This window comes from Homo sapiens, chromosome 2, assembly GCF_000001405.40.
Source record: "Homo sapiens chromosome 2, GRCh38.p14 Primary Assembly".
Classification (NCBI taxonomy): domain Eukaryota; kingdom Metazoa; phylum Chordata; class Mammalia; order Primates; family Hominidae; genus Homo; species Homo sapiens.
In genome coordinates, this window is record NC_000002.12 from 84,630,381 (window position 1) to 84,643,104 (window position 12,724).

At 40.3% G+C, this 12,724-nt stretch overlaps 1 protein-coding gene across 14 annotated transcripts in view; it reads left to right on the forward strand.

The window, feature by feature from the left end:
* The window catches only part of DNAH6 (dynein axonemal heavy chain 6), a 360,018-nt gene that overhangs the window by 170,809 nt on the left and 176,485 nt on the right, over window positions 1–12,724 (forward strand). For all 14 annotated transcript variants that reach the window (XM_011532650.4, XM_011532649.3, XM_006711956.3 and 11 more), the window contains 4 exons: window positions 4,124–4,261; window positions 6,830–6,997; window positions 10,050–10,198; window positions 11,567–11,674. In XM_011532650.4, coding sequence (XP_011530952.1) covers window positions 4,124–4,261; window positions 6,830–6,997; window positions 10,050–10,198; window positions 11,567–11,674 — 563 coding nt within the window. The remainder of the gene's footprint in view (window positions 1–4,123; window positions 4,262–6,829; window positions 6,998–10,049; window positions 10,199–11,566; window positions 11,675–12,724) is intronic.

The window sequence follows — 12,724 nt, forward strand, 5'->3', positions numbered from 1 at the left end:
CTGTTCAAAAAAAAATTAAACTTCAACCTAATGAATCTAATGGAGTCTCTAGATTTAAATACCAGTTTTCAAGAAGTACAGGTGTATGAGATAAAGGACCATGTTAACACCACAAGAATACAATCAGCTAAATATGGAATCAGGGGAATTCTATAGGGAAAATAACTTACAGACCTTCAAAAATAAATTGCATAAAAGAGAGAGGATTCAGGGAACTGCTATAAATTTAAAGAGATTTAAGAGACACAGTAACCAAATGCAATGTTTGTACCTTGCTTGTATCTTTGTCGGAACAAACCAATTGTAAAAGGATAATATCAGTACCATTGAGGACAATTGAACAAGATATTAAGTAATGGGTTTTTCTTTGGGTAGGTTAGCAGTATTGATTTGGGTAATTTGGGGTTCTTATGTGTTACAGAGTTTATTGTGAAACAATATGATGTCTAGGGTTTGCTTTAAAATAACAACAAAAAATGTTGGAGAGTATTTTGAAAATAGAATGTTGGTAATTTTAAGCTGGGTGGCATATACCTTCTTTCACCTCTTGTGTATGTTTGAAATTTTTCAAAATAAAAAGTTTTTTTAAAGTAGAAATCATCACAAAATAAAATGATAGAAATAACACCAAAACTTATTTCTAATGGTCAATTAATTGCTACACAATTCGTCTCTGAAAAACAAAACAAAACAAAACAAAATAGCCCCTGACTGCTCTCCGCTGAGAGCCGACCTGACTCAGACTATTTGCTTCTCCGGTTGAACACAAACAATTTCACAGACCACCAACTACAGACCAGGTCACGATGCATCCATTATGGAATGAGATGCCATAATCGTGTCTGAAAACACACAAGAATGCTGTCCAAACCACAAAAAATAATCTAATATCCCCCTCTCCAGGCTAAGCTGTGTAACTGCTTCACCTTTACCAATGACAGCCTCAGCCTCCTGTATAATGTTATTATTATATCCATCATAAACTTGCCCCTGCTTCCTACCAGCACCTAATCCACAGTGTTGTGGATTGAATTGTGTCCCCTCAAAATATGTTCAAGTCCTCATGCCTAATATCTGTGAATGTTACCTAATTTGGGCCTTTACATTTATAAAGACTCAGATGTTTAAAATGAGGCCATACTGGAATTCTACAGGCCCTAATCCAATAACTAACTAGTGCCTTTGTAAGAAGAGAAAAATGTAGATATAGATACACAGAGAGAAGGCAGCCAAGTGAAGATACACAGGAGGTGGAGATCAGAGTGATGCAGTACAAGAAGCCAAGGAATCCCAAGGGTTGCCGGCAACCACTAGAAGCTACCAAGAGGCAAGAAAGAATCCTACCCCCAAGAGCCTTCAGAATGAGCATGGCTTTGTTGATACCTTTATTTCAGACTTCTAGCCTCTAGAACTGTGAGAGAATAATTTTCTGCTGCTTTAAGCCCTTCAGTTTATGGCAATTTGTTATAGTAGCTCTTAAAAACTAATAGAGCAAAACCCTTCTTCACTGACCCTTCCCCAGAATTTTCTAACATAAGCCCAAATCCTATGACAAGTCCTCCTAATATCCTTTTACCAAGAGAAACCTTGGTTCCCCACAGAGTGTGGTCTCCCTTGTTGGAACAAGTGGTAAACCCAATTGCGTCTGACTACAGGTATGTCCTGGTTATCTTTGGCCTGTAGGCATTGACCCTGTCCTTCACTTTTGTTGAAAACAAAGAATTGGAGATCACCTGACTTGAAAAAGTATTTGTTAACCAGTCAGTCATTGCAAGCATTCCTGCGTTCATGATCAATATTTGGAACTGCTCCTTTGTTTGGCACCCTGGAGGTTTTTGCATCCTGGGGCAATGCACCACAGTAAGATCTGGTTTGGATAAGAGCAAGGCTGCCAGTATCATCTGCTGAGCCTCTACACCTGTGGCACGCGTTCACCAAGTCACCAGCCGTGTCAGGGCTGGATTTCAAACCCCCCACTCTCCTCCTCAGCCAGGCACAAACTGCAGAGCCAGGAGTGGCAGAGAAAGAGGGTCATTTTTGAAGAGCAAACGGAAATGAAGAACCACCATGACCACAGACATGTTCTCAAAGAGAAAAATATTAGCAAAGAGTCTGTGTCACAGATCAAGATCTGGAATTTTCTTTGTTACTTCCTTTAAAACTGTTCAAAAGTATCCCTTGGGAAGTCTCCACGTATGCCAGGACTTACATGTATGCTAAGTATGAAGACCATTCCTCTACAATATGGAAGCATTCTGCAGCTTTGTTGTACAGAACACCAACTTAGTCTTTAGTCCTGTCCATGCTATCATTCCATGCATTCATTCAACTTCTCTTACCTTGTCTATATTATTACTAATTTCCAGGGACTGTTTCTTATCTCTGACTAATCCCTTTTTTTAGAGTATCTTGTTTTATTTTAGGAATGTGTTTCCCTCCCAGATCTCTCTGAGGATTCCATTTCAATTTTGTAAAATTACTTTCTGTTCCCTAAATTATCTCCACTTTCTCCAAAGTTGCCCGTTAGTTTATTCTTCTCATTCTTTCTCTTTCTTGAATCTTCACCTATTGGTTCATAAGTATAGATGAAGGACTAATTTAATTAGTGTAAACAGCTTGTTTCCCCCAAATGCCCCTTCCTTGAATGAAAGAACTACCAAGAGCTCTGTGGAAGTATAGAATGTGTGGCCAGCAGGCTTCTTCATAGAATGTATGCACACGGAGCAGCCAGTAAGTGAGAAAGCCCACATCGAATGCCAAATAATAAGGATTTTCCTTCTAAAGTAGTACATTTCAGTGGGTTTCACTTTCTTTTATTATTTTTGAATCTCGGCGACTGAAGTGGAAGTCTGGAACCATCTTTCTCTCCTTGTCTCTGCTTTCCTTATCTCCCAAGCCTAATATCGTCTCCCAGTATCTCCTAATATTAATATCTCCCCAAGGCAGATCTCCCCCTTTGCTTATGAGGCAGTCCTTCATTTTAGCCTGGTGGGGATCTCAGCACTAAAATCTCAAGAGCCCTGTTTAGTCTGCTTGGGGTGAGAGGAAGGGAGAACAGAGAGAGGAAGGACCCATAAACCCAATCATTCCAAGTGTGGATCTTTGCCTCATTTCCAAATATTTCTCTAGGGCCTGTGTCTGCTTTGCTGCATGTATGTATTCATGTTGCATGAATTGCAACTTGTGTATATTGATATTGGGTTTGGAGTTTCTTAGAGACCTCATGATGGGCATTACTCCTCTCCCTCTGTTTTGGGGCTGCAATTCTCCCTTCTCAGTTGAACAGTCTGTTTCCCTATGCTTTCCATATTCCAGCTTTTTTTTTTTCAAAACCTTCTTCCTGCTGGCTTCCCTTTCCATTATGTTTTTATCAAGCAGGTACAGGTATAAGTGTGGTCACAGAAAAGGAGAGAGATATGCACACAGATCTATCAGCCTTTCTGTGATTTGTGGGAATCGGAGGAAGGGGGGAAGTAGTATGTGTTCAGTTGACCACCTTGAAATTTAAAACCACTAGTTCTATTACTAAAGAGATAGATATATGGTATAATGCAAGATTTATATACATGCTTAACCAATATCTCAAGTGCCCAAAAGAAATGCCACACTTTAGATGGTACATTCTTATTTTCCTCCACCATTAGGATTCTGCTGTAGAAGAAATTAAGAATCACTACTATAATCTGCACAGCTATGCCTTCTGCTCAGTAGTCCTTGTGTGTGTCTGCCATGTAGAATACCTTCTAAAGACAATGAAAGCTTCCATTAGTAAAATTTTTCAAGTTTTTTTAAAGTTCTTAAGTTTGTATGTTCCATGTGTTAAACTATTTGAGAATCTGTCAAGTATTTGCAGAGGTGAGTGGAGGTTATAAACAAGAAGGAAAATTGGTCAGATTGTCATTTTGTTTAAAAATAAAACAGATTCAAATCACTTAGAGAGACTCAAAAACATATTTCCTCTTGTAGAAAAGTGTTTACTTCTGACATAGACCAGTATTCACATAAAACTATTGCTTATTTGCAGATACCACCTCTTTTTTCTTTAATATTTCAGCTCAGAATTTAATTTTTGAAGGAGCTGAACTACACAATACAAAGTTGAACTGCTTTATTTTGATTTCAGATGATGGGGCGCTTCTTCAGTGGCTTGGCACAGTCAGGGGCCTGGTGCTGCTTTGATGAATTTAATCGAATTGACATAGAAGTTCTGTCCGTCATCGCGCAGCAACTCATTACCATTAGGAACGCCAAAGCGGCAAAGGTAAGGCACTGGGCAATCGACTTTCAAGGTAGCAATCCTTAAATTTGTCATTAACTCACAGAATGTTACATTTTAGGAAGGAGATGCTAAAAATGTTAGGGAGGAATCCTGGGGAGCCCAAGGGGACCTTGGCTCTCCAGAGCTCACTGGACTAGAAAATCCAAGGAATATGGTGCCAGATGAAGACACTGAGTGGTCCTGTTATTTAAAATTTGTTTTAGCCCCTTATTAGCATGTCTCTAGAGAAGGGATTTCATATTCAGAAGCTGATGGCAGTGAAGGTTGGGACCAAGTCTCTACCACTCTGTGTTGACCTTTGGAGATCTGGTCACAATGGGCAGCACTGGTGTTCAGCCTCTACAAACCAAAACAGCACTGCTCCAAGCCCTGTGAGGGCCCCCACTACTCCCTTGGCCCTTTCGGAAGAGCCCCAGACGTCCTCTCGATTCAACAATAAGGGTTCATCCTGGCACAGCACGGGGGACTCTGGACTCAGCTCTAGCTCCAGAGGCAGAGGCTATCTCATTGGAAGGTGTCCTGATAAGAGTTGTTAAATATTTTGATTATCGCCCTCTGCAAAAAAGCGAATTACAGAACAAATAAAAAGAAATCATGACTTGGACTATAGTGAGCTACTAAATTGTGTAAGTCATTATGGTATGTGCTCACACTTATTTCATCTTACACCAAATCTACGTGAAGTATATGTCATTTCCCCCAAGGTAATAGGTGAAAAGAATTCAAAGTTAAAAAAATATTTTCATAGACACCAAAAATTATTAGACTCTAAAGTCTAAGCTCCCTTATCTGTACTCCCTCTTGTTCCCGCATACTCTGGGGAGGCCTATATTAAACACAAGATCTTTAAATACAGAGATAGCATAGTCTATATTGTGCAAGTTATTATCATCTGGCTGAGCAATTCACTGAAAGCAAAGTATATGGAGTAAGGGGACAGGGACCAGAGAGAGTAGAGGCAGGATTGAAGCTTTGCCCACTGGAGAGCAGCTACATGAGGACAGAGGAGACAGGAGAGCATCTGCAAATAACCAGCCTCGTCCTGAAGCTGCCAGTGCCCTATGAGACAGTTGGGGTGGGGTATACTGTTTAGAATAGGTAAACTAAACCACAGAAATTGAGAGGTTTGCTAGCACAAGCAACCATTCAGCAGCAGCAGAAATGGTCTCCAGTTGTACCATGCATTCTCTCCTCCAGGCTGTGGCACATCACCTTACTCCATCCTGGTCTTCCCTGTATTCCTCATGTCTGTTGATAGCATCTTCATCTAGTGCCCAACTAGAAACCTGGAACTCACCTTGGATTTGACCCATCACTATTAATCCCAGAATCTAAGCCATCACCAAGTCTTGTTAATTTTATCTGCTAGATGCCTCTCCTCCCAACTTACACCTCTTGAATTCTGGCTCTCATTATGTCCCTAATGATCATTCCTTACTGGTCTCCCTGTCTGTAGCCTGTCCAACCTCTCTGCTGCCAATTTTGATCCTATCACTCTGCTTCCCCCCAAACATGGGACAAAATCTAAATTCCTTAGTTTAGTGTGCAGGACTCCTGATGCTCAGGCCCAGCCTAGCTATGCTTTCTGGAACTTTGCCCTTTAGCAAAGTAAATTGCTCATCATTTCCGGAACATGCAGTGTTGTTTCTTGCTCCTGCTCCCTTTTCCTGGAATGGCTGCCCCTGTTCCTCCACCTGAAACATCCTTCTTCCTTCTTCAGGTCCCAAGCAGGTTGTCTACTACCCCCATGGGCTTTGCACACACCTGCACTGTAGTATGTGTTGCACTGTGTGGTCATGGTTTCCAGGTTGATTGCAGACAGCAAGCCTGGGAGTTTCTGGAGATCTCAAGAGTGAGGCTCCTTCAGCTGTGTGCCTCCATGCCTCACCTATTGCCTCACCTGCAACAGGTGCTCAACAAGTGTTTGCTGTTAAGTAAAAGTGAAGGGGTGGTGACAAAAACAGTGACAGTGGGGCCTCAACAACTCAGACTAAGATTAAGTTGGAATTTCTTGGGGAATACCAGAAAGTGGGAGTGGAGAAGGTTTAATGGTCAGTAAGTTTAAGATGAATTTACAATTAGTGGGGCGTGGTGGGGTGTGCCTGTGGTCCCAGCTACTTGGCAGGCTGAGGTGTGAGGTGGAAGGATTGCTTGAGCCTGAGATGTCAAGGCTGCAGTGAGCTCTGATCATGCCACTTGCACCCCAACCTGGGAGATAAAGCAAGACCCTGTCTCAAAAAAAAAAATAGAAAGTTGAATTGAAGAGGCTCAGTATATGTTCAGACCTAGAAGATTTCAGGACTTGGCTAGGAAGGAAGAGACAGTTTGGGCAAGTCAGGTGCAGGGAGACAGAAATCAGGAAACACAGAGCCCAGAAGAGATTGGAAGTAGACAGGACAGAATCAGAAATGTTCCCTGTTGTCCAACAATGGTATTCAGTAGTCTTTGCTTTAGTGCTTCATTACATGAGTCTTGTATTCGAGTAATAATTAGGTGAAAAATTTTACAAGTGTCTGGAAGAGTGTTAACTTATATTTTATCTTCGAACAGCTCTCTAGATTCATGTTTGAGGGGCGGGAAATAAAGTTGGTGATGACTTGTGCAGCCTTCATCACAATGAATCCTGGCTATGCAGGGAGAACTGAATTGCCAGATAATTTGAAAGCCCTGTTTAGACCATTTGCGATGATGGTTCCAAATTATGCCTTGATTGCAGAGGTGAGCATCACATTATAAAGCAGCAGAAATGTAAACTTCTTTCTTTTATTTACCATTCGATTCTATCAAGGTAGAAAGTTTCCTTTATGAATGCCCCTATTAATGGTTACACATTATTAAGTGTAGATATGATTGTTATCACATGGAATGTTAAGTTCTGCATGTTTGTTTGTTTACTGCTATAGCCATAATACCCAAAATGGTATCTGGAATATAATAGGCCCCTAAAACTGGAAAGAATCAATGAGTTAATTAACCAGTTCATTGGGGTTTTTCAGTTCCTCTCTAGGAATTAAAATGTCTGGATTCATTACAAAAACACAGATTATTTTTATTTCTCTTTGCACATTATTTTTTACTGGAGTCAAGGGATGCTAAGTAGAAGCCTCCTCACTATGAAGTGGTTGGAGATTGGTTTATAAGTATGTATCAACTTAGTCAAAAAATAGTAATCATTAACAAATTATTTATAATCATGTTTGTTTTTTCTGTATCTACTTAGGCATCTTTCTATTTAAACTGGCTTTAAATAGCCAAGAATTTAAATGCTAGCCAAAAATTGATGTATTTGGCCAAGCACAGTGGCTCAGGCCTGTAATCCCAGCACTTTGGGAGACCAAAGTGGGAGGATCGCTTGAGTCCAGGAGTTAGAGACCAGCCTGGGCAATGTGGTGAAATCCCGTCCCTACCAAAAATATAAAAATTAGCCAGTCTCATAACCCAGTCTCAAAATAAATAAATAAATATTTAATTAGTTAAAAATAAAATAGTTTTTTAAAAAGAATTGATATATTCACATTTTGTACTTTTTTACAAAAGAGAAACAGGGTCTCACTATGCTACCCAGGCTGGAACTAAATGGAGGTCAAGCAATCCTCCCACCTCAGCCTCTGAGTAGTTGGGACTACAGGTACATGACACTATATCCAGCTAAATTTTATACGTATTTTTCATGGCACTTTTTATTGAGGTATAATTTATACACAATAAAGAGCACAGCTCACAGGGTGCAGCTCAGTGAATTCTTACACATGCATTCATCTGTGTGACCACCAAGACCAAAATATAAGGCATTTTTAGGACTCCAGAAGACCCCTTGTGTGCTCCATGCTACATTTCATAACAAGGGACACTACCCCTTTAGGATGGAATTTCTCAGAAAGCACAGATCACTCCTTTGGCTAATAAATTCCTGTGATAACAGCTAATTTTAAATATTCTTCTATGTGAAATAAAAGTAATTGCTTAAGAATAGAGTAGACTGTGCCAAATCCTATCATTAGAAAAATTACAACCTATATTAGGGTATTAGGTCTTTCTTGCATTGCCATAAAGAAATACCTGAGACTGGGTAATTTATGAAGAAAAGAGGTTTAATTGGCTCATGGTTCTGCAGGCTGTACAGGAAGTGTGGTGCTAGCATCTACTCGGTTTCTAGGGTGGCCTTAAGGAGCTTTTACTCATGGTGGAAGGTGAAGTGGGAGCAGGCACTGTGCATGGTGAAAACAGAAACAAGAGAGAAAGAGTGGGTGAGGGGGTGCCTCACACTTTTAAATGACCAGATCTCAGAACTCAGTTACTATTGCAAAGCAGCACCAAGCCATGAGGGATCAAGGATCCACCCCCATGACCCAGACACCTCCCATCAGCCCCCACCTTCAGCACTGGGAATTATAATCCAATGTGAGATTTGGGCTGGGATAAACATCCAAACTATGTCAATTAGTATAATGCTTACAGCAGCTCAGGGGTCCCCCATACCCACTGTGGGCATGGTGGGGTGGGGGGCAGTTAGGACAGGTAGTATCTTTACTCTTGACCCTCTCTACAAACAGGGACAATAAATGACTTGCTCATTGTCCCAACTTGGTAGGAAGAAAACCAGGTTTAGAGTCCAGTCCAACATGTTTTCCATATCTCATGCTTTGTCCTGTTGTTATAGTACTCAGTAATGGATTGGACGAATTTGAAAGTCTAGTCTTCTGAGTGCTATTCCTATTATTTTTAGAGTTTAAATGAATTAGATTCTGTTGTCAGTAATTTTTTTTTTTTTTTTTTTGAGAAAGAGTCTGGCTCTGTCACCCAGGCTGGAGTGCAATGGCACGATCTCGGCTCACTGCAACCTCCATCTCCCAGGTTTAAGCAAGTCTCCTACCTCAGCCTCCCAAGTAGCTGAGATTACAGGCTCCTGCCACCATGCCTGACTAATTTTTTGTATTTTTAGTAGAGATGGGGTTTCACCGTGTTGGTCAGGCTGATCTTAAATTCCTGACCTCAAGTGACTCACCCATCTCGATCTCCCAAAGTGCTGGGATTACAGGTGTGAGCCACTGCACCTGGCCTGTTAGTAAATATTTTTAATCACCTACTGTGTGCAGAGCACTGTGCTAATCAGCAGGGATAGGGCAGTAAACAAAACAGACACCAGTAAGAACTCTGCGTCATTCTAAATTCTGCATCTGAGGCCAACTGCAGTGTTTCAGGCAGATTATAAATAGAAAAAAGGGTCCGCTTCCAGCTCCACTGTCAGAGACACTAAGCATCATCTGATTAATTTAACCAAGGATGCAGAAACTTGTCAGAAGAAAGGCAGAGGAGAGGCTGACAATCTTTGCATGGCTTCCCTTGACTCCTCGGGAAACTAAGGGAGCTGGTGGTAATCACTCTCCACTAGGGTGGTGTTCCTGTCAGATCAGAGAAGCTCAGTTCTTGCTTTTGTACTCGGGCCTAATGACACCATCCAACTTTCACGATGGGAACATTTTCAAAAGCTGGGCTCTTCTGTTCCTTGAACCAAATGTCCCCAAAGCTACATCTTCATCTACACATGGAAAACAGAATCAGTGCCTAGGTATCCCCATACAATATTCTGCCTTCCCGTTTCCTGTGGCACAGAAAGCCTTTTTCCCTTCAATCTTTATGTTTCTTGATTAAAAGACATAACAACTTGGAAAGTATAATGTTTAGAGTCAATTTTGACTATGTTGGTATCATGCTAATACATTGTTATCAATACAATATAATAAGCATTGCATTATTTTTTCTATTCTAGGTAATTCTATATTCTGAAGGATTTGAATCCAGTAAAATATTAGCAAGAAAAATGACTCAGATGTATAAGCTTTGCAGTGAGCAGCTGTCTCAGCAGGATCACTACGACTTTGGCATGAGAGCTGTGAAGTCTGTCCTGGTCATGGCTGGGTAAGAAACCAAAGTAGTCAAGAGTGAAATCCCAAACCATGTGATCAAATGCATTAAATGGGTAACTCAGGAAAGGCTCTCAGAGAGTAACTGATTAATAAATGTTGGCTGCTGCTGTTGTCATCATTCTTACCTTGACACTCCATGACAGATTGACACAGGCTCTCTCTCTTTATCCTGTGACAGTTCTTCACTGTGAGTCCTAACATGGTTGTCCTCGACAGAAAATGATCCCCAGCTAGGCTTAGGATAATATTCACTTCTCCTGAACTCAAATTCAAACATCGGTCTTTTGTGTACAAAAACCTTTACCACCATAAGATGGTATGACTAGACTTAAAAGACACACAGTCTGTTATGCATATGCAACAAAGCCAGTCATACTTGTTGCCTGAGAAAGCCTCAGGAGTTTAAAGAAACTTCATAATTCCAATTCAGTTCAGCTTATGTCTTAGATTTCACCTCTGTCTTTATAACGTGGCCCAAGCCTAAGCTTCTTTCTAGTATCTAGTAAAGAAAGAGTCTTTCCTCTTCTCAGACCCCACTTTTCTCTTTATAACTTCTTGAAACTACTGCATCTGGAATCCCCAACTTGTCCAGAGCCTCTAAGGAGACCTATTTTATCTCTAGTCCTTCCTCTCAGGCCATGACTCATTGGCTCAGGTTCTGCACATCCAGGAACCCTCTGCCTGGCTCCTGCATCACTGGGCTCTGCATGAATCTCCCTGCACTTTCCTACCCTCTGTTCTATCTTTTAACCTCTCAGATATAGTATGTCCCCTCTTTACAGGATGGCCATTTAAGGACTAGGAATACTAAGAACTTGAGATACACTTGCACTGGAGGAGCACAACTACAGTCCAGTGGGTCGTAGAGACAGACCAATGTGTAGTCATGTAGCTGCAATGCAGGGAGGGCAGCAACAGGGCTGCACCCACCAGAGGTTCACTGAGAAGGAGGATAGAGGACAGGAGCTTTCTAGAAAAGGGAGTCACTGGGCTGGGTTTCGCAGGGGAAATAAGAGCAGGCAAAGAACAAGGCAAGATATTCTGGGCAGGGAGAAAAGAAAATCACAGCGATAGGAATCATCATGGTGTATTCAGGGAACTATAAATTCAGGTTGAATAACATCGGGATTGGGGAGGGTGATGAGAAGATGTCCTTGTCATTCTCTCCAAGGCTGCATAGCCATTGCAGGACTTGTCAGTATGCTCTGATGGAGATGAACGCTGAACACACGAGGGAAAATGATCTTCTCCTTCTAACAGGAATCCTCAGGGGAAGGGCTCTGCCCTCCCCACAGGTTTAGAAAATCATGTTCAACCTTATGTTCTTGTGATATTATCCGAAATATTCCTTTAAATTTAGATCTTTAAAAAGAGAAAACCCAGACCTAAATGAAGATGTGGTGTTGATAAGAGCTTTACAAGACTCCAATTTGCCAAAATTTCTAACAGATGATGCTCTTCTGTTCAGGTAAGTTTGTAGACATTACCAAGTAAAGCATGGCTATCACGTAGAGGCAAATGGTAGTCTTTTCTTCAATTATTTCTTTCTCTAACAAGCTGAAAACTTTCCTATCTTTTCTGGAGAAACTTATTTTGCAGTTTAAGAAATACTCATTTAAAATGAAGATACTAAAGTTTGGGCATAATTACAATCATTTGTGTTTTTTTATCAAAATATTTATCACCAGACTATGTGCTGTACAACTTAGCATTTGGCCATAAGTTCCTGACCTAAGAGAAGTTTCTGACTCAAAAAAAGTCAGACTTGGGGTTTAACATAAATACAATTGCTTTTATCCATTTTGTTGTTTGTTGTTTAGTTTTACATTTCTCCACGTTATACATGTATATAGTTTTAAAAAGAAAATAGTTTCATAAATTAGTCTCATGGAAAGCAACAGTCCCCAGCCTTTCACCAACTCCCACTTCCCAAAGACAATCATTTTCTAACTCTTTTATTTATTTATTCTGCTATCCCCCTCCAAACTTCTTAATACCACATTTATACCATTTCTTTTTCTTTTTTTTCCTTTTTTGACTTTTTTCAGTGGTTGCCCTAGATTTTGCAATATACATTTACAACTAATCTAAGCCCACTTTCAATTAACACTATACCATTTCATGGGAAGTGTGAGTACCTTATAATAACAATCGTATTTCTCCCTTCTATCCTAATTCCTCCCTCCATCCCTTGTGTCATTGCTGTCATTCATTTTACTTATATATGAGCACACATAAGCACATATATAATATATACACAGGCATATATAATCAAATACATTGTTGCTATAACAATTTTGAACAAACTGTTGTCTGTTAGATCAATTAAGAATAAGAAAAATAAAAATTTTCATTTTACCTTCAATTATGCCATGCTCTTCCATGCTCTTCCTTTAGGTAGATCAGAGTTTCTGACCTATGTTATTTTTCGTCTCTCTAAAGAACTGCTTTTAACATTTCTTGCAAGGCAAGGCTACTGGCAACAAATTTTCTCAATGTTTATTTGTCTGAGAAAGTC